Source organism: Homo sapiens, chromosome 5, assembly GCF_000001405.40.
Source record: "Homo sapiens chromosome 5, GRCh38.p14 Primary Assembly".
Taxonomy (NCBI): domain Eukaryota; kingdom Metazoa; phylum Chordata; class Mammalia; order Primates; family Hominidae; genus Homo; species Homo sapiens.
Window position 1 is genome coordinate 108732014 of NC_000005.10, and position 22676 is coordinate 108754689.

At 39.9% G+C, this 22676-nt stretch overlaps 1 protein-coding gene across 19 annotated transcripts in view, besides 3 other annotated features; it reads left to right on the top strand.

Moving 5' to 3' along the window:
• Positions 15884 to 22676, top strand: part of FER (FER tyrosine kinase) — a 448945-nt gene continuing 442152 nt past the window's right edge. For 14 of the 19 annotated variants that reach the window (NR_146155.2, XR_007058589.1, XR_007058591.1 and 11 more), the window contains exon 1: positions 16935 to 16980. The gene's annotated coding sequence lies outside the window, so the exon portion shown is untranslated. Of the gene's footprint in view, positions 15988 to 16934; positions 16981 to 22676 lie in introns of those variants that run through there. The other 5 variants (NM_005246.4, XM_011543269.3, XM_017009231.3 and 2 more) reach the window with 1 other exon arrangement.
• Positions 16651 to 16750: a silencer, noted in NCBI's record as "silent region_16221". NCBI's record gives its function as "represses an Ori minimal core promoter by ATAC-STARR-seq in GM12878 lymphoblastoid cells {active_cell/tissue: GM12878}" and the evidence as "EXISTENCE:reporter gene assay evidence [ECO:0000049][PMID:35858748]".
• Positions 16831 to 16890: a silencer, noted in NCBI's record as "silent region_16222". NCBI's record gives its function as "represses an Ori minimal core promoter by ATAC-STARR-seq in GM12878 lymphoblastoid cells {active_cell/tissue: GM12878}" and the evidence as "EXISTENCE:reporter gene assay evidence [ECO:0000049][PMID:35858748]".
• Positions 17021 to 17430: a silencer, noted in NCBI's record as "silent region_16223". NCBI's record gives its function as "represses an Ori minimal core promoter by ATAC-STARR-seq in GM12878 lymphoblastoid cells {active_cell/tissue: GM12878}" and the evidence as "EXISTENCE:reporter gene assay evidence [ECO:0000049][PMID:35858748]".

Here is a 22676-nt window from a genome sequence, read left to right on the forward strand (position 1 = left end):
GATCCACCCGCCTCAGCCGCCCAAAGGGTTGGGATTACAGGCATGAGCCACCACACGCGGCCGAAGGGTACTAAAGTTTTGAAATACAAAGTCTGTATAGAGGGCCAGGTGACATGGCTCACGCCTGTAATCCCAGCACTTTGGGAGGCCAAGGTGGACGGATCACTTGAGATCAGGAGTTTGAGACCAGCCTGGCCAACATGGTGAAACCCCATCTCTACTGAAAATACAAAAAAAAAAAAAAATAGCAGGGCGTGGTGGTGCACACCTGTAGTCCCAGTTACTCAGGAGGCTGAGGCAGGAGAATCACTTGAACCCAGGAGGTGGAGGTTGCAGTGAGCTAAGATCACGACACTGTACTCCAGTCTGGGTGACAGAGCGAGACTGTCTCAAAAAAAAAAAAAAGAAAGAAAGAAAAAAGAAAACTCTGTATAGAATCCCCACACTACCTGTCCCATGTTAGTAAGCCATAAGCAGCCCTGTGGCTGCTTGTAGCAGAAATCAACGGTAGAGATTAGCACCCATCCCTTGAGAAGTGCTTTTGTGCCACTTCAACTATGTAGTTCCAGTGGAAGCTGTCATGTTTTTGCATGATTCTGCCAACTGTTGACACTTGACTGATCTCAATTCCCCCCTCCCCTCCCCTTCCTTTTCCTTCCCTTCCCTTCCCTTTTCTTCCCTTCCCTTTTCTTCCCTTTTCTTTGCCCCGTTCCCCTTCCCTTCCTTTTCTTTTCTTTTCTGACAGGGTCTTATTCTGTCACCCAGGCTGGAGTGACTAGTGATCATAGCTCACTGCAGCTGCGACCTCCCAGGCTCAAGTAGTCCTCTGGCCTCAGCCTCCCGATTAGCTGGGACCATAGGGGTACCCCAGCACACCCTGCTAATTTTTGTGTTTTTAGTAGAGGCAGGTTTCACCATGTTGCCCAGGCTGGTCATGAACTTTTGGGCTCAAGCAATCCATCCACCTCAGCCTCCCAAAGTACTGGGATTACAGCTGTGAGGCACAGCGCTGAGTCTGATCTTGATATTTGATATATGAGAGAGGAGCCAATCACAGTCCTTCTCTAGAATTTTTCAAACTGGAATTGATAAGATTTTTTCCCTCCTCCATAGTAGCATCTATGAATTATGAAACTTGAATACTGTCAGTGCCACATAGAAGAAACTGTTCTACAGAGTTTGTTAGCATGTTTATGTGTACGTGCCATGTAACAGGAAGAATACGAAAGAGTAAAACTGAGGGATAAGAAAAAAATAGGAGAGAGAGAAAGTGAGTCATGGCTACCGGCTAGGCCTTGGTTTGGTTGTTTCTGTATCCCTAAGTATCTCGTTCTAGCACTGTGGTTATTCACACTTCTTCCAAATACACGACATCTTTCAAATACTTTGCCCTGTTTGCCTAAAGGTGCTTAAGTTGGGTTTCTGATATTTGCCACTAGAAAATTCCTAACAAACACTTTTAAACTCATCACACTGAAATTACTTATGTAATTTCAATTATGAAATTATGTATTATGCTGTAATTATAATTACTGTTCTATTATCTTATTGTGATAGGCAGAATTTTAAGATGGCCCCCAAGAGACCCCAGGGTGGCACTGTACTTATAATCCCAGCTACTCAGGAGGCTGAGGGAGGAGGATTGCTTAAGCCCAGGAGTTCGAGACCAGCCTGGGCAACATAGCAAGACCCCCATCTCAAAAAATAAAAAGAAACAAACCACACCACACATGTAAGGCAGCTCCCAAAATTCCTGCCCAATTGACACACACACTTGGTATAATCTCCCCCGCTTGAATATGCACGCAACTTGTGCATATGATGGGATTTCACTCCCATGGTTACATTATCTTGGCAAAGATTCAAAGGCAGAGAATTGCTTACCTGCTTGCTTTGCAGAAGATGAAGGCCACCATGAGTTCTATAGCTGCATGGGACTAAATTTTGCCAACAGCCTGTGTGAGTATGGAAGACCTGGAGCTTGAGTGACATCATAGCCTGAGTAGAACCCTTGATGGCAGCCTTGTGAGACTGATGCAGAGGGCCCAACTATGTGTTACCCGAACTGTTGACCTACAGAAATATGGGATAATAAATGAGTATTATTCTAAGCCACTAAGTTTGTGGTAATATGCTATGCAGCAAATATTATATATTCAGGGAAGAAAAATAGGACAAGTTTTGTCAAAGAAAATGCATGTTCTTCCATGAACATTAAAACACCAAAAAAAAAGGTACTTCAGCTCCCAAGGTGTAAGCGTTACTGACTGAATTGTGTCCTCCCAAAATTCATGTATTGAAGCCGAGTGCCTCGGAATGTGGCTGTATTTGGTGACAGGGCTTGTAAAAAGGTGAGTAAATTAAACTGAGACTATTGGAGTGGCCTCTAATACACTAAGCCGCTAACATTGTCTGATTTTAGCTTGTATGTGATAAATTTCCTTCAGTGACATGTTATCATCCCTTGACATTGTCTCTTGCAAGTATCATGTTACTATGGCTTGGATGCTGGGTCTAATACGTCTGGACACATCTGTTACATTCATTTCTTAATTTTTCTGTTTTGCTTTGTTTTCATTTGTTTCCAATCTTAAAAGACTATGTTTCTTTTATATTAAAAATATTATTGAGCTGACATTATGAGTATGAATAAATGCCTTGGTATATGTATTAGTTAGCTGAGGCTGCTACAACAAAGTAGCACAGACTGGGTGACTTAAATAACAGAAATTTATTTTATCATAGTTCTGGAGACTAGAAGTCCAAGATCAAGGTGTTGGCAGGATTGGTTTTCTCTGAGGCCTCTGGGCTTGCAGATGGGCACCTTCTCTGTGTCCTCATGTGATCTTTCTTCTGTATGTGAGCATCCCTAGAGTCTGTGTATCTAAATTTCCTCTTCTTATAAGGAAATCAGTCACATGCTAACTATTTCATTTTAACTTAATCACCTTTTCAAATGTCCTATATCCCAATATAGTCACATTGTAAGGTAGAGAAATTAGGGCTTCAACATATGAATTGCCGGCCGGGGGAGGGTGGGTGGCGGGGCACAATTTAGCCCATAACAGCATAACTTTTTGGGGACGGGGAGCATATTGTAATGCCAAGTTTCCATTCTTTCCAGAACATGCTGTAGAGCCTCTTTCTAAAGATTGCTTAAGAAATACTATGTTTTAATTTTATACATTGGACTCCAGAGTTCCCAATGATTATTTATAACTGAATTTTCAATATACCAAAAAGAAAAGGTATCTGAATCTCTTCACCTGCTAACCAATTGGAGAGAAAGAGCGAGTCAAGTACAGATCCCTTTTCCTAAAGTTTCATTATTTCTTTTAAAGATAGCCTGAGATAATTTATTTTTATTTTTAATTTTTTAAGACTCTTTAAAATACATTTTTAAAATTCTTCTTTGTTGGAGATTATTTCATTACCACAGATATTTTCACAAATATAATACTGCATTTCTGGAGGGCAGGGATACTGTATGAGTAATACAACAGGCAGAAAACCTGGGATATATTATGTAATCAATCATTGTTGGATTGAGTTTAATTAAATCTACAATATTTTTGGTAAAATTATGTTTATGTATAATAGAATCTATTATTTTCCAATAGCAAGGTAATTATGAAAACATTTCTTAACATATCCTGAGTTCCTTCTCTTCTCTAGATCCCATTGTTACCATGACAGGAATCACTATTACCTCCTTCTCGAGCACTTCAGCAGCCTCCTGATTTTTCCCCTCTTGCTATCCCACAATTTATTTTCCATGCAGCAGCATAAATGATCTTTGTTTAAAAAGTAAAATTGAGCATGTTATTCGCCAGCTTAAAACTGTGCTGCCTTCTCATTGCAGTCAGAATATAACACAGAATCTTTCTCTTATCGCATAAAGCCCTGATCAATCATCAGCTTATCTGGCCTGTTTCCTTTCTGGTTGGTTCGTTAGCTCCAGTCATGCTGATCTTCTTTCTGTGCCTGGAACATTCTGAATCATTCCCAACTCGTGGACTGTAATCTGTAACTGCTATCTAGAACACTTTGCCCTCAGATCTGCTCTGTCTTTGCCTTCAAGTCTTATTTCAAGTGTTACCTTCTGAAGAGAGGGCTTCTCTCAGACTCCTCATCTAATGTTAGCAAGGGCCCTCCTTGCACCTGGCAACACGCAATCTTTCCCACATTACTTTGCTACATAGAATTTAGCGCTGAATTGGCCTTCCTTACTTAATTGTTTAATATCTCTTTCCCTGCTGAAATGGAAAATTTACTGCTGATACATGTTAGACATTTAATATTAAAGTGCTACTTAGAAAATGAACAAAGGTACAATGCAATATGAATTTCAAAGTATTTACTTAAAAACAAAAGCCCATTAAATCCAATTAGAAAGTAATTCTTTCTTGTGTGAATGAAACATAATTCCTAAATAACAATGAAATTATAATGATGGAAAGGGAAGACCTTTCCATAAGAACATAATTTCTATCTCTCTTATTTGGAGAAAATCTCCCAGGTTAATACTTTATGATGAACTAATTTTTTTTAATATATAGAGTTTAGGGACCTTCACTTGTTCAATTTCTTCTCATTGACAATCATGATGTTACAAAGTAGACTATCAATTTCAAGTAAGAACAAATTCAATTGTTTTTCTTGAAAGTGACCATAGAAATAAAAGGAAGTAAAAAACAGAGTGAATAAAATAAAGTACATAATATTATATAAAAATATAATCTCAATTTCTTTCTTTTAAACTTAGAATTGGAAATGCAATCAGATACTTTATTTGTCGATTTTCACACTGCTATAAAGAAATACCTGAGACTGGATAATGTATAAAGAAAAGAGGTTTAATTCACTCACAGTTCTGCATGGCTGGGGAGGCCTCAGAAAACTTACAGTCATGGTGGAAGGGGAAGCAGCTACGTCTTACCTGGCAGTAGGTGAGAGAGAGAGAGAGTGTACGTATGCATATGAGGAACCGTTAAACACTATAAAACCATCAGATCTTGTCAGAACTCACTATCACGAGAACAGCATGAGGGAAACCACCCCCATGAGGGAAATCACCTCCCACCAGGTCCCACCCTGGCCTCGTGGGGATTATGGGGACTACAATGCGAAATGAGAATGGTGGGGTCGGCAGGGACACAGAGCCAAAACATACCAGATACAAACTACTGAGATACATATTTTGCCTCCTCCCTCTCTTTTTTTTTTTTTTTTTTTTTTGAGACTGAGTCTTGCTCTTTCTCCCAAGCTGGAGTGCAGTGGCACCATCTTGGCTCACTGCAACCTCTGCCTCCCGGGTTCAAGCAATTCTGGTAGCTGGGATTACAGGCGCCCACCACCACACTTGTCTAATGTTTGTATTTTTAGTAGAGACAGGGTTTTGCCATGTTGGCCAAGCTGGTCTCAAACTCCTGACCTCAGGTGACCTCAAGCTGTTCTCAACTCCGCCTCAGTCTCCCAAATTCTGGGGTTACAGGCGTGAGCCACCACGCCTGGCCTTGCCTGATCTCTTGTATGAAGCTTTTTCATCAATCCAAATGACAAATTATAGTTATAAAATATACTTAGCAGTTGGGCACAGTGGCTCACACCTGGAATCCCAGCACCTTGGGAGGCTGAGGCAGGCGGATCATGAGGACAGGAGTTCAAGACCAGCCTGGCCAACATGGTGAAATCCCGTCTCTGCTAAAGATACAAAAAATTAGCTGGGTGTGGTGGCGTGTGCCTGTAATCCCAGCTACTCAGGAGGCTGAGGCAGGAGAATTGCTTGAACTTGGGAGGCAGAGGTTGCAGTGAGCTGAGATTGCACCACTCCACTCCAGCCTGGGTGACAGGGTGAGACTCTGTCTCAAAAAAAAAAAAAAAAAAAAAAGGAAAGAAAGCAATAATACAACAGTAAATGTGGCAACAAAATGAAACAATAGAGTTGCTATTTCAACAAAATAAAATTATGATTTAGAATTTTTTAAAATGTTTTTTAACTTTATATAACTGTATGCTTAGAGAAATACATATTCACAGATCCACTCAAGACATTATCTACAGTTATAAAATACATGTTCCTTTCCAGCCCTGCCCTCATTAGATATGACCTCCCCAGGGCTAAGACATGATGTGAGCAATTTGGGATCTGTAAGATGATGCCATCTGTGGTACTTATTATTTGTTTTAGTAAAGTTTTATTTCATTCCTGGGTAACACCCTGCAGCATATCTAATACATATACAGTGTCTGGCAAATGTATACAGGTTTTTAGTTACAAAGGGGATTAGAATATTAGGGTATATTTATCAAAGTATATTTCTCTACAGGAAAGTAATAATGATTTACAGATATTTTCTGTGGGTTACTTTTTCATTCTCTTGACAGTATCTTTCACAGAGCAAAATTTTAAAAATTTGATCAAGTCAAATTTACCGATTTTTTTTCTTTTATGTATTGTGTTTTTGATGCAGTATTTAAGAACTCTTTCCTTAACTGAAGGTCACAAAGATTTTCTGTGTTTTCTTTTTTAAAGTTTTATCATTTTACATTTTGCATTTAGGTCTCTGTGATCAATTTTTGAGTTAATTTTTGTATAGGTGAGAGATATGGGTTCTATGTCAGTGTCCAATTGTTCCAGCACTATTTTTTAAAAAGACTGCCCTTCTCCACTGAATTATCTTTGCACCTTTGCCAATAATCTACTGACCATATTTGCATGGGTGTATTTCTGGATCTTTATTCTGTTCCATTGATCTGGTTGCCTATGTTTTTACCAATACCTCACTCTCTTGATTACTATGGCTTTATAATGAGTCTTGAAATCATGTTGTTTGAGTCCTTCGAGTTTTCTTTCTTTTCAAAACAACAACCAAATTTTTAAAATGGGCAAAAGCTTTGAACAGACATTTCACCAAATAATATATAGTTGATCCTTGAACAACATGGGTTAGAACTGCACAAGTCCACTTATGGGCAGATTTTTTTTCAACCAAAGGTGAAGTGAGGCTGGGCGTGGTGGCTCACACCTGTAATCCCAGCACTTTGGGAGGCCTAGGTGGGTGGATCACTTGAGGTCAGGAGTTCAAGACCAACCTGGTCCACATGGTGAAACCCTGTCTTTATTAAAAATATAAACATTAGGCGGGCGTGGTGGCGGGTGCCTGTAATTCCAGCTACTCCGGACGCTGAGGCAAGAGAAGTACTTGCACCCAGGAGGTAGAGGTTGGCAGTGAGCTGAGATTGCGCCACTGCACTCCAGCCTGGGTGACAGAGTGAGACTCCCTCTCAAAAAACAAGCAAATAAATAAATAAAACAAAGGTGAACTGAAAATACAGTATTTGCAGATGCATACCTCAAGTATACAGAGGGCCGATTTCATATAGCAGATTTCTCAGCGCCAACTGAGTGACTTGAGTATGCACAGATTCTGATAAATGTGGGGAGCCTGGAATCAATCTCTGGAATATACAGAGGGATGACTGTACATGGACGGCAGGTAAACACATGCAAAGATTCTTAACAGTATTAGTCGTTAGGGAAATGTAAATTAAAACCCTACAAGATACCACTACACACCAATATGAATGGCAAAACAAACAAACTCCAGTACCACCCCAACACCACCAAGGGCTGATGAGACAGAGGAGCAACTGGAACTGTCATATGTTACTGGTGGAAATGTAAAGTGGTGCAGCCACTTGAGAAAAGTTTACTAGTTATAAAACTGAATATGCACTTACCATGGGTTTGGCAATTTCACTCCTAAGTATTTGGCCAAGTGAACTGAAAATTTGTGTTCATACAATAAAACTTGTGTGTGAATGTTTATAGCAACTTTATTCATAATTGCCCAAACCTGGAAAACACCAAATGTCCCTCAACTGAGATATGGATAAACAAACAATGAAACACTACACTTCGATGAAATGAAAAAAATGACAAATACGATAACAGACAAATCTCAAATACGTTATGGTAAGTGAAAGAAGCCAGGCTTAAAAGGCTGTATACTGTACAATTCAATTTATATGACATTTTGAAAAGGCAAAACAATAGTGATGAAGAACAGATCACTGGTTGTCAGGGGTTGTGTGGGGATAGGGTTGACTATGAACGAATAGCATGAGGGAATTTTGTGGGGAGGGGAGTTGGAACTGTTCTGCTTTTTGATCGTGGTGATAGTTACACAGCTATGCATTGGTCAAAATTCATAGAACTGTACACCAAAAACAGTGAATTTTACTGTATGCAAATTAGAAAATAAATAAATGTGGAGGCATAAAGTATTCTATTGCTGGAGAGGAAGAGGGAGAGGTAACTGCGTGGTGGGAGATAAGTCGGGATAAATTGCTTGTAGGTTTGTAAAAGTCCCTGAAGCCAAGGTTAAGAAACTAGACATACTTCTAAGCCAAAGCATTTGAAGATCAGAATGTCAAAATGAAAATAATGGTTAGGTGACCTGACTGTTGACAATGTGCACCACAGAGCCCTAGGGTGGCAGGCAGGGAAACCAATTAAGAGGTGACAATGGCTCCCTAAGGATAAATACCTTATATCTGAAAAGGAATCTATCCATTGAAAATTCTTTCAGTTTCTTTCGTTTAGTACATCTTTTTTTTTTTTTTTTAAATGGAGTCTTGCTCTGTAGCCAGGCTGTAGTGCAGTAGCACGATCTTGGCTCACTGCAACCTCTGCCTCCGCCTCCTGGGTTCAAGTGATTCCCATGCCTCAGCCTCTGAAGTAGCTGGGACAAAAGGCCCACGCCACCATGCCTGGCTAATTTTTTGTATTTTAGTAGAGACAGGATTTCACCATGTTAGCCAGGATGGTCTCCATCTCCTGACCTCGTGATCCATCCACCTCAGTCTCCCAAAGCGCTGGGATTACAGGTGTAAGCCACCACGCCCTGCCTGGTTTACTCCATCTTAACAAATCCTCATAAGAACCAGTGAGGTTGGAATTATTACCCACAATTAATAATGCAAAAATTGAAGCTCAGAAAGGCTAAGTGATTTGCTTAAGTTCCCACTATATAACTATGATTCTAAGACTTGTAGCTTAGTTGTTTCCTTCTTTCTAGTCCTTTTTATTCTCTCTCATGTCATTCTATTACTTCCTTCCTAGCATTTATCACAATCTGTAGGTTGTCTGTTAATCCTTTTTCTTGTCGATTGTCTGTATGTCCCATTTGACTTCAGGGAAGGAACCCTATCCCTGCAGCAGCTCTCTGTTATATCCTCAGAGCCTCTCAACAGTGCTTTTGGTAAATAAGTGCTCAAGAAATATTCATTGAGTAAAGAACTAAGTTAGAAAGCAAAGATAAAACATTATTATTATTGACATATCCTTTTTTTTTCTTTTTATCTTATTTTTATTTTATTAGAGACAGTCTCACTTTGTCACCCAGGCTGGAGTGCAATGGTGCAATCTTGGCTCACTGCAACCTCCACCTCCCAGGTTCAAGCAATTCTCCTCCTCAGCTACCCTAGCTGGGATTATAGGTGCCTGCCACCATGCCCAGCTCATTTTTGTATTTTTAGCAGAGATAAGATTTCACCATGTTGGCCAGGCTGGTCTCCAATTCCTGGTCTCAAGTGATCTGCTCACCTCGGCCTCCCAGAGTGTTGGGATTACGGGCGTAAGCCACCATGCCTGGCCCTTTTTTTTCCCTCTAGAATGTCACTTACATAGAAGAGGCATATCCTTTTTAATGTGTATTCTATCTGCAGTGATGGGGACAGATGTTCCTTGCTCTATTTTTCCTCTCAGTAGCTTTCAAACCTGGCCGTGCAACAGACTCATCTACAGATTTTTTTTTAAAGTCTGTTTTTATCAAAGCAATACAAGTGAAATGACATCTTCATTTATAACACTAAAAAGCAGCTCCCAGCCCTAATCACTGTACTCTTCAGTCCCCATCACCATCTGATAGTTGAACTCTACTCTTAACACTGGTGTTTACCCTTTCTACCATGAAGCATGCTCACAATACTCTTTCTTGGTTTTTCAATATTGGAAATTATCTGCTGACTTCCTACTATGGAAGAAGAGGACTTAGCTACCTCACATTACTTCCACTCAGTTTCCCTTATCCTTGTCCTATAATATTATAGAAAAGACAGTATTATAATTTTTTAGTTAATCAATTTTTGTGCTTAGATTAAGATAATTATGCAATAAGTTTTAATACTAAGCTACATGAAATACTATGATTACATTTATAAATATAAAGTTTGTTTTTAAAATAATTTTTTCCTCCTGTGGTTAATAATTGCTCTATTTTCCATTTGTTTCATCTCTTTTATGCCTACCCATAAGTCATCTATAAATTTGGTCAGAATGGGACTACATCTCTTCATGTGATGAAATACATCAGAAACTCTATTGACCCCACTGTTTTTTCTCCTGGAGACATCAGTTCCAGAGATATCCATTCTCTTGCTTCAATCTACACTGGCTGCCTTTTAGGCCTGTGATACAACTATTATCCTAGAAATTTCTTTTGATATCATCCTGGATATTCCTCTTTCCTTTCTCCAATGTTGACTCCATGTCTTCCTCTTCTTCCTGGACCAAGCTGAGGGTCGGGCTGCTATTTCTTGTGGCCCAATAATGAGATGCAAATGAACGGGGAGGAAGAGAGGTTTTATTTCTGCATTTGGTTACAGGGAGAAGGCCTGGAAGTTATCGCCAGACCAACTTAAAATTACAAAGTTTTCCTGAGCTTATATACCTTCTAAGCTATATGTCTACGTGTAAGTGTGCATTCATCTAAAGACATCAGTGATTAACTTCTTTTAATCTATAACTAAGGTCTGAGTCCTGATGACCTTTCTCTGGAGCCTCAGTAAATTTTCTTAATGTAAATGGGTCCAGGTACTGGGGTGACTACCCTTATCTTGTCTCCTGCTAAATCATGGAGGTTTGGGGAGTTCCTTCAGACCCCCAATAAACTTGTTTGTGGAAGCCTGGGGAGTTTCTTCAGATCTCCAATAAAACTTATTTAATCCTAAATGGGTCCTGTTAAGAATTTTGTTATTTTTGTCATGTTCTAAGGCCCAGGAAAGGCCTAGGCAAAACTCTTGGTGGGCTTTTCTTACATTTCAGCCTTTGTATAAGGGCACTGGCTTTTAATATTTAACTTAACCACTCAGTCAGTACTGAAACAGTTGTTATAGAGGCCTATGCTAGTCAGACCTGTCCTGCCACAATCTCTCTTATTTTAAGCCCTCTTTTTGGTGGAAAACACCCTTAAGTACCTTCATGAGAAAAGATTTCATAGAAATAAAACTTTTTGAGATCTTGCATGTCTGAAAATACTTTTATTCTACAATTAGACTTCATTGATTGTTGGTTTTATTGGGAATTCTGGATTGTAAATGATCTCTCCTTGGAATTTAGGATATTGCTCAATTTTCTTCTAGTTTTCAGTATCATTGTTAAGAAGTCCAATGCCTTTCTCTGTTCTCATGTCTGTTCTTTTGTCTGCATTCTGTTATTTTATCTGAAGCATTTAGGGAATTTAAAAAATCTCAGCTGTTCTGACATTTTAGGATTAAGTGCTTTTGTGTGAGTCTTTTTCATTATTTTGCAAGCCATTCATCAGATCCTTTTCAATCTGGAAACTCAGGTCCTTCAGTACTGGGGAAATGTCTTTCTTTGCTAATTTTGCCCCCTCTCCCCGTCTCCTTTTTTCTTTCTATAGATTAGATGTTTGATCTCCTGAATTGATCCTACATTTTTTTCCTCATATTTTTCAACTGCTTGTCTTTTTGTTTTTATTTTGAGACTTCTCAATTTCATTTTATCATCTGCTATTGAATTTTAATTTGTTTTTTAACTTTTCAAAGTTCGTTTCTCTCTCTGAATTTTTCTTTAGAAAAATAGCCTCCTGTTTTCATTTCTTTAAGGATTGGCAGACCTTATTTTTGACGTGATTAGGCAGGGAATCTGTACATTTTGGAAAATCCCCCCGCCCCCACACCCTCAGTACTCACTAGTTATAAAAATACTTTTCCTCAGGCAAGTCAATTTCCCTAAAAAGGAATCCTCTAAGGTCTTCTCTGAGGGACAGGAACCTGAATACAGTCATTATGGGAGCTTGGAGGATAAGTCTCACAGTTTAGTATGTAGACTTTCATGTATTCCCTTTACCCCAATGTGCAGTAGGCACTTTTCTCCTAGGTAATATTCAGCTGTCTCTGTATCTTCAAGATCTGAGCTTCTCTAATGACTCCAAGGAGTAAACCTTGTTGTCTCTGGATTGTGGTAGAGTAGTGTTTTAACCTAGCTGCTTGGTGGGGGAAGTGATCTTGATGGGGCAAGTAGGGTCTCCCTACTCCTTTTACAGACTGTCAAGCAATCCTGTTGTTTACAGCCTCTTTTCTCAACCATGCCCCCTCAGAGATCCCTAGGCCTGGACCTAGGCACTTTGGGAGGCCAAGAGAGGTGGATCACTTGAGGTCAGGAGTTTGAAACTAGCCTGGCCAACTTGGTGAAACCCCGTTTCTAATAAAAATACAAAAATTAGCTGAGTGTGGTGGCACATGCCTGTAATCCCAGCTGTTCAGGAGGCTGAGGCACCTGGACCTGTGTTTATGTTATATCAAGGATTTTCAGGACAGAGCAGAGATAAATGCCTGAGTTCAACACACCATGTTGAATAATTCACTGGTCTCATGCCAAACATACAGACTTTCCTGAACTTTTTTGCCTTTCCAAGTGAGAATCTTTGGGAGTTAATCTGGGAGTCTATTTTTGAAAAGATCCTCAGGTGATTCTGATAATATCACACATATAAATTCATTATTACAGCACTGTTACACAGGCACACACATTTTTCAGTTAACTCTGAAGCCATAATGAACCAGGGATAAGGGGATGAGGAAAAGGACAGGTCAATTCTGAGAAAAGGCCGGGCACGGTGGCTTATGCCTGTAATCCCAGAACTTTGGGAGCCCGAGAGAGGTGGATCACTTGAAGTCAGGAGTTCGAAACCAGCCTGGCCAACTTGGTGAAACTTTGTCTCTAATAAAAATACAAAAATTAGCTGAGCGTGGTGGCACATGCCTGTAATCCCTGGAGGCCGAGGCAGGAGAACAGCCTGAACCTGGAAGGCGGAGGTTGCAGTGAGCTGAGATCACACCACTGCACTCCAGCCTGGGTAACAGTGAGACTCTGTTTTAAAAAAGAAATGAAAAAAAAAATCTGAGAAAAGGATGGCTTAAAAAGGGACAGGCCTTTAGTGATCCAGGGGCATTTTGGAGAAGGCATGTCTTGATTACGAATGTTGGTGGATTTCTTAATGGAGAGCAGGTCAGGGAAGCAGGAGAACCAATATTAATTAGAGTACTAGGATGGCCACCCGCTGGCTGGGAAAGATGGTTGGGAGATGGTGTTAATACATTTGACATCTAGTTTGAAGACAGAATGGATGTTTTCTTCCTTCAAGTCTACTTCATTTTCTTTTCTTCCCTCCCCCTCCAACTACTCTGCTATTTTCCTAACACAGATTCAAAAAATAAAGGAAATGATTAAGCCATTTTGAAAATTTGAAATTTGGAAAGCCAAAACAGTCCTAAAGAAAATTTCACACAAATGTGACCTCTAGGAACAGTATTCATTCAAGAGAACAATTTTCAAAAAGAAAAAAATATATATCCACTGAAAACAAACACTGCAGCATGTATAGAATAAGGATAGATATGGTTTCCATATTGCATACCTCATCATGATCTCTATTTTAGGAGCAGTATGTGTGTATGGTTAGTTATGAATTGTGGATAGGTATGAATTGTGGATTAGAAAGCAGAGAGTCACAAATCAAAGGAGTTGGCAGAAAAGAGACACAGATGAAGAAAAGGAGGGAGGGGTAAGTATTGGAACTACTGAACTAAGATGGCACACAACCAAGATTCCTCTTGCAGTCTATACTTTTAAACAGGAAAAAAGGGAGGTGGAGAGATGGGGTGAGGCATGGATGGTGCTAATCAAAAAAAGTAAAAAACTTTTCAATCATTTTTTATTACCCACCTAGGTTTGATGTCCACATTATTATTTTCATTGTCCAGTAAGTAATGCTATTAGAACAGACAAAGTTTGGTATTTGAGAACATGGAATATATACTAAGGTGACACACAGTGTTTATTAAATGTGTTGCAATGCAATGTGATAATTCCAACAGAGGAAAAAAATGTGAAACTGGATTTGCTATATATTTTTGTATGCTTCAAAAATGCAGCATAGATTTTTGCCACATTCATTTACTTCAAGTATATTCTTTCACAACTGCATTTCCTAGCACAATGACTGGCATATGGTAGACAGCTTTTAAGGTTTTGGAATGAATAGGTGAGAACTCAGAGAACAATTGTAGATATGGAAAGATTCTTGCTGATTTTTCTAGATTTGGGTTCCTTAACACAAACACACATGTTGTGTATCAAACAGCTCTATTTCTACCATATCTTTATTGAAAGCTACTTTCTGCAAATATGTAATAACGTATTCACCAACCACATCTTTCTACATTTTGATTCCCTTTGTATAAATGGAGAAATTCTAAGGTTCTTGGGAAAGGTATTCAGTCATGAAGCAGTCTCCAAAGTTGTATTTTGGCCTTACCTAACCAAATTTTCATTCATTTCATTCTTATTGACATTACATATACTATAACATTTGATGTTCACAGAAAATTAACTTCTATTTTAAGAAGTTTACTCACAGAACCACAGTTTGTGCATTTAACAATCACTATGAAATACATATGAAACATTAACCATCATTTTAGAGAACAATTTAAAAACTCCGAAGTAACTACTTTCCTTAACTTTGTCATCCCAACATTCTGGGTATAGGCATTGTTGGAAAAATATAATTAAAAACCAAAATCTCCCAACCCAGAAATCCTCTCCACAAACGTTAGTAGACAAAACACTTTTATTACTGAATAAGCATTAAACGAGACTGTGATACACATCACAGGCAATTTGCTAAGAGATTGCAAAGACAGAAATCTTGCCCTTTTGTATAGCCAAGTATATACGACCCATTACATACACGTTTTCAAGTTGAACAATAACTAGTCCTCAAGTAAGAGGACCTGACATTTGTGACATTAACTTTACTTAATAATTGGGGTGACCATCTGTGTTAGTTAATTGGTTTTATCCAGAGGAAAAACAAACTTCTCCTGTCTTTATGACGGAAGGTAGTTTTGCAACACGGAGCAAGTTGCTCACCGAAGTTACGCTCCTACTCTCTCACAGAAACTGGGAGATAGGGAAGGATGCTACTCCGTTGATATGTGCAGCATTTCAAAAAAAAAAAAAAAAAAAAGGTCCAGAGACATTCCTGACTGAGCATACAGTTGACAAGACCTATCTAGTCCTCAAGTGGATTTATACACATTTCAAAGAGTTGAGAAAGTACTTAACAATTAAGAAAGTACTTAAGTTTTCTAAGACAAATGCTCGGAGAGAAAGGGACGGGAAATCTCATCCTCCATTTTCAATAGGGAGAATTAAGCCTCTTATTTAAAATTTTTATGTTGGTTTTTGTTTATTTAGCTTTAAAACAGTAGACTTAAAAAAAGTCCAACTTAAGATTTATGTTTTTTTATGTGTAGGGCTGTTCTCTACGGTTAAATAAATAACCCTGCTTAGAGAAAATATTCACCACTCTTCTTTGGCTCCTATGTAACTCAGTTTTTGAGAGGGAGGGGAAATACCGGATTGACGCTATGTGGTTCAACCAATGCAAAAGATAACACCGCCTTAAAAAGTCTACTACAGGAACATGGGAGGGTCACACCCTCGAATAATGACGCATACCTATCCTACTGTTACTGATCACCTAGTAATAATCTTGTAGTTCACATTACTCATTTTTCACCAAATTCTTTTGGTGAAGGACGCTTCAGAAACGGCCATCACTGAAGAGCAGACCCGTTTGGGTTCTCCACGCATTCTAGACTCCCGAAGAGGTAAGAATTTATTATAGGGGGCCACTCCCAGGACCTGCTGTATGCTTTTAAACATCCATTACAATTCCAGCATTGAGTTTCTAACATTTTTAGGCAGGCTCAGGCACTGGGAGTACAGGATTGAAAGACAGTTCCCGTCCTTAAGGGACTCAGAGTAAACTGGAGTTGCTGAAAACCATTCTAAAGCAATCCACGTTAATAACAGATACAAGTAAAACGTGGGAACGTACAGGAAAAAGTGACCAATTCTGAGGCTGAAAAGTGCCTATTTTAGGGGTGGGGGCCTCGCGGCCCTAAAGCAGCTTCCCTTCCCGGAGATTTCAGCTCCAGGGATCGCCCAGCGCCCTCCGGGCACACTTAACATTTTAATCACGCCTCCGCCCCCACTCTCCGAATTCCTTTCCGGCTGCCGACCCGCCGAGTAGTCCCTTCCAGGCGGCCTCAGCTTATCATCGCCGGTCCGGCCACTTCCCGGCCGCGGCCAGGCGAGCCTCCCAAAGTTTCCTGTGAGGCCTTCGTCCGTCTCCGGCCCCATCTCACCACGGCAGCCCAGGACACCCGCTAGGGAGGAGCAGGTTACCGAGGCGGGGAGAGCGGCACAAACGCGCAGACCTCGGGACTCCACCCGGGCTGGTGAGCGAGCCCAGAAAGCGGCGACCGCAGCTCCGCGTCTCCACTCCCAGGGCCCGCAGCTTGGGCTAAGCGTGCGCCCACCCAGCCTAGGGCCCAAGTCCTGCCCCTTCGGGGACCGGGCCAATCGGCCGCTCCCCGCCTCCTGGGAGGTAGTGGAGGAGGGGGCTGAGGGCCGGGCGGCTGCGCCCGCCTTCCGCTCTTGCCCATTGGCTGAGGCCTCGAGGGTGCCCGGAGACCGGAGTGCAGCGGGATTGGTTGCAGAGGTTCGTGACAGTGGCGCCTATTGGCTGTGGCAGCCCCCGTGACGCGGGGTGGTGACTGGCTCCGGAGTCTGAGGGGTTCGGGCTTGTCAGGTTCTAGGTAGGTGCGTTTCGCGCCGCCGGCGGTAGGCGCTGTTGCCCGGGGCAACGCGGGGGGAGGGGGGAAGAGGAGGGAAGGCAAGCCTAGAGCGGGGGCAACAATGCCTGCCCGCAGAGGGGCGCCCGGGATTCGGCCAGGGCGTTGGGGGCTGTGCCGAGGCTCTTCCTCCGCCCTCAGCCAGCGCCCCCCCCAACCCCCGTCCCTGGCTGCAGGGTCATCCGCTCATCCTCCCGCCCGCAGCAGAGCATTCCTGGTTGGGGCTTGGGCCGGGCTACACACCCAGCCCCACGAGGGCCGCCCCTCCCACCATCCCGGGACCCGAAGGCTGAGGGGGCGGGTGCCGGCGCGAAAGGGCTGTGGCGGGCGTAGTGGCTCCGCCCCGTCGCGGGGTCTGGGGGCTGATGGGCGTGAGGCGGGGTGGTGGGGGGACTGTGGGCACCACCCAATCTTGCCTGTACCCTCACCCCTTTTCTCGGCGGCACTCATCTGGGCGCCGCCGTCCCGCTACGGGGGCATTCTCAACCCCTGGTATTCCCCCCATCCCTTCCTGCTTCTGGAGCCCCGCAGTCTCCCTTGACCCGCTCGGTCCTCCCCAGCTCTCCTCCTATCTGTCACCTTCTCCCGCTTTTATCCCCCACCTCATCTTTCTCCTCCGGTCTTGGCCAGAGGTGTCCTCCAAGAGTCTAATCAAGAGATAGATCTTAAGTGTGAAGCTAGTGGTGTCGTCGGTAATTTCTGCTCTGTGGTCTCTTTGCCAGTTAGAATTGGGGAGATGTTTGGAGGCACCTTCAGGGGTCATCCTTCTGCCTTACAGTTACCCCTAGGATCTACTTTCTGAATACGCTCATTGGGTTGTGTTGGTAGGGGCAAGGTACTTCTTAAACAAATTGAGGATTGTACTATGAGGTGGGCACTTTGTACGTTTGCGATTTTGCCATCCACTGTAGTGCAATTCAAAATCTAATAATTTGTTACGGCTGGTAGCCTTACATTTTTTTCCTTCGCCTTATGGTTAAAAAAAGAGCAGCTTTTTAACCTTTTTAATTCAGAAGTTGCGTATATTAATGGTTGTCTCACTATCACTTTGACATAAACTGCTGTAAAGGTGTACTCCATTTTCCTTTTCTCCAGATATGTTAAGATAATAAATTTCTCAGATGAGGTTACCATATATAAAAGTGTAGTGGAACATCAATAAGAGAATAGATCAAAACTATTTTAGTGATTAAAGATTAGAAAATACTTTTCAATTCATATGTGGAATGAGAATAGGATAAAAAAAAAAAACTATTGCAAAATCTTTAGTGCAGTATTTGTAGTCCTGGTATATATACCTGTGTTGCCCTTAAGAAGACATTTGTGAGTAGCTCCAGGTTTGTCAGTCGGGAAAGCAGAGTGTATCTTTTTGTAGTCCAGGAAAGCTTTTCTGCTAGTACTTTTGAGCCAAGAGAATTATGCTTCCAAAGATGCTGGGAATATATTAAGAGAGTACATAGGCATACTTCTGTTTTCATCTTTGAAAGACCTTTAGTGAAGATCTGTTTCTCTTCTGCATTGATTGTTGACAGCATTAAATATACATAATCTAAAACTATGTAGTGTCAAGTTGTTGCAGCTTCTGCACTGCTTCAAAGGTTGATGTCTTTAGTTCAGAAGAAATAATTCAAGCTTTGGTAGACAAATCATTTACATTTCATCTTCGATGTAGATGTTACTGTAACTCTGGACCGTGAACATTTCAAATTTGCCAGTTTTTTCTCAACTATTTTACTATGAAAAATTTCAAACAATGCAGAAGAGTCGAGTTGAACCCACCACCTATATATTTAGCAATAACGATTTCAAGACCACTGTTACACAGTAAACATTAAGGAATAGAGGAACTGAAATGATCAAGCTTAAAAAACCAGCGTATGTGGCCGGGCGCGGTGGCTCATGCCTGTAATCCCAGCACTTTGGGAGGCCGAGGCGGGCGGATCACCTGAGGTCGGGAGTTCGAGACCAGCCTGACCAAAATGGAGAAACATGGTCTCTAATAAAAATACAAAATTAGCCGGGCATGGTGGTGCATGCCTGTAATCCCAGCTACTCGGGAGGCTGAGGCAGGAGAACCGCTTGAACCCGTGAGGCGGAGGTTGTGGTGAGTGGAGATCACACCATTGCACTCCAGCCTAGGTAACAAGACCGAAACTCCATCTCAGAAAAACAAAAAACAAACAAACAAAAAAACCACAAAAAGCCCAGCATATGTATATACATGTATATGTAGTATACATGTATATACACACCACCAAATTATAAGGTGCTTATTTTTGTTTGTGAGTGGGAATTGTACTTACTAAAACTATACTAACTTAATTACATGAGACTATTCAAAGCAATCTTGTGAGTGAGGTAGGAAGTCATCATCTTTGTAATCAAGGCCCAAATAAGTAAACTGCATTTTGGTAATCAGACAAAAGGAAATCTGATGAACTTGTTATACAAAAAAACGTTTTGCTTCAAAATTGGACTCCTGTGTAAATAGATTATAGTTTTGTACTTGATTTATAAATAAACATCTTTTGGAGGGAAGTCCAAGGGACTATCAATTATGTAAAATTTTGGTAACTTGATAAATTGGGTCAATCTTATGTCTGTTCATTTGGAATAAGAATGTATTTTTGTAATGGAAAAAGCTTACAAAGGTGAACTTTTTTTAGTAGAACTGCTTCATGGAGACTGACGTAATTAGAGAAATTTAAGTCAGTATTTCGATAGGACTCAACGATCTTGGGTGTTGTCTCATGGTTCTGAGGAATATTTTGATATAAAACTTCAATTTATAGTAAAGGAATAAGTGGAAATGGGTATAAATTCACACATTTGTATATTTGTAATTTTTCTATACCCGAGAAATTTGTGTACACCTTTTTAAGTATTTGAATCTTGCTTTTTAGTTTTTGCATACCCTAAATCTGTTTTTCATACTTACCTCGTTCATATAGTAATTTCTTAAATATTAAGGGCTATGTCTCAGAATTTATAGATCTCTGGATTGCTTTATTACTATTTTTCCAAATTTCATTTGTCTTTGGTATGCTTATGTATGGTTAACCTATCATGCTATTGAGAGACTGAAGGAAACAATTAGGTCACAGTTTTAGAACTTTAGTTGTAGATTCAGTGAACTCAGAAACAATTGGATTTTTTAAAATCAAGGCTCCAATTTTCCCTTCCCTCCCTTCCTCCTTCCCTTTTTTTACTCCTTTTCTTTCTTATTTTTGTTTGATTATAAATGTTAAATGCCTTACAATCAATTCAGAAAACTATAGAGAAGAAAATGAAGTCACTCATCATTCTACCATAATGATTTGAAAACTAACAAACTTTGATTTCTTCTGTAACACTCTACCAATTATTGAGATTTTATGGTTTTCATTTCAGTGTATCTGCATTCACATCAAAATTTGTAAGAGTTCCTGAACTTGAGGCTGTTACCTTAAATTAGAAGAGGGCTCCTAGATCTGGGGGAAAAATGGAAAAGAATAAATAGAGGACAGATTAGAGTCAGAACAGAGGAATTAGACCCAAGCAGTTACTGTTTCTTATTCTGTAAGTATAAATATTTTAGTTTACCATATAAAACTGCTGTATGGCTGACAAAATATGAGGCCATATTTTTTCTTTGGAATTCAAAGTATCTAGGTAAAACAAAGTTTTCTTGGTTCTTTTCAAGAAATAGTTCAGATTTCTTCATTTTTGGAGGATATTACATAATTCAGCTTTAAAAATTTAATGTCATGCATGTTTGGAATTATTTTAAAAATATTCATATCAGACAATTACTAATTTTTATTCATCATCACCATTCATTATAAACTTGATATTGTCACTTTTTTTAGTAGGTATTAAAAGACTGGACATTTTATGTAGGTTTTCCTTGCTAGGTTTCAAAGTGTAGTGAAAAGAGGAGCCATTTATTTTAGAGTCAGATAATCGGGTTTTAGTTCCAGTTTCTGTTCTGTGGGATCTTGGACAAGTTATTTTATCTCTTTAAGTCATAATTTTCTCATCTATTCAATAGGGATAGTAAAATTGCTTCACTAGCTTGTTACATAGAAGAAATGAGACAATGTAGGTAAGATTTAGGAAGTATTAAACTGACTTTAGGAAGTATTCAGCTTCTGTATTCAGTTCTTTATGTGATAACATTGATTTTATCTCTCCTTGTATTAATGTGTTTATTATACCATCCACAAAGTCCTTGTTTCAGACATAAGAAATTAAAATATAATTAAATTTACTTAAATTTAAATTTACAATAAATTTACTTAAGTTGAATGACATTTGCATTTATACAAATAAATAGTTAGAAATATCTCAGATTAGCTGTTCTTTTTATAAATCTTAGCTTATTGTATCTCAGCAGGGATAATTATAAATTTACTTTAAATGATTTTTAACTCCAAAATATCTCCAGTTTGTCTGGATTCCTGATTTATTTTTCTTTTTGCCTAGATGATCATGTGTTTTTGGATGGTTGCCCTAAATTCCTTTCATTTAAACCACAGGTATTAGCTACACGTTACTGTCTTAAATCTCTAACTAGTGCCCCCGCAAACACATTTTCTCAATCTGTTTAAAATTTAAACTTCATTTTTAAATTTAATAATACCCTTATTTGTATATTAGTTGTGTCTTTTCCACCTCCTACTGAAACGTATGATTATTTTTTAAGGAGCAGTATTTTACAGATATCCCTGTTTCAGATTGTGTGTTCTGTAAATACAGGGTTCTAATTCTTAAAGAACATACAGTTTAAATGGGCAGACCAGCCTATGGTTATTCTGTGTAGAGAAGCAAGCACTGAACTGACTTAGCAGTTGAACTAGAGTCCATATGGTCTCATCCAGCAGTAAAACAGATTTTTGTGATCCAAGTCAGTTTTCTTATATTTTTTCCCGTCCAGGTACAAGATATTTACATGTATGACATATTCCACTGTGCAGTTTTCTAGCATGCGAGCTCTAATTCAGTCTCTCTCCTATTCAAGAAAGCATATTAGAATGCAGATGATTGAGAGTGACATCATTATGGGTATAAACTTGAATCTACTCTGATTTATTGGAGAAAGTGAGTCATTAAAAAATGTGGGCTGGGTGCAGTGGCTCATGCCTGTAATCACAGTATTTTGGGAGGCTGAAACGAGAGGATCACTTGAGCCTAGAAGTTTGAGAGCAGCCTGGGTAACATAACGAGACGGCACTCTACAAAAAAGTTAAAAAATTAGCCCGATATGATGGCATGTGCTTGTACTACTACTAAGGTGGCTAAGGCAGGAGGATTCCTTGAGCCCAGGAGTTCAATACTGCATTGAGCTATGATTGCAGCACTGTGCTTCGGCCTGGGCAACAGAGTGAGTCCCTGTCTCAAAAAAAAAAAAAAAAAAAAAAAATAGTGTGTAAGTATTGTTAGTAACAAGTACTGAAGACATACCTTACAATTCTGTAAGGGACCCAAGTTATTTCCACATTTTCCTGAAGTGAATGCCCCTTTAGTTTTTCTTATCATTCTTATAATGCTACATAAGAAAATATTATTACACTAATTTTATGTCATTAATAGAGACCTATATTTAAAAGTTAGAATAACTTAATGAACATGTAAAAATATTTAGGTAACAGTACCTCAGTCTGTATTGTGACTGGAATAAC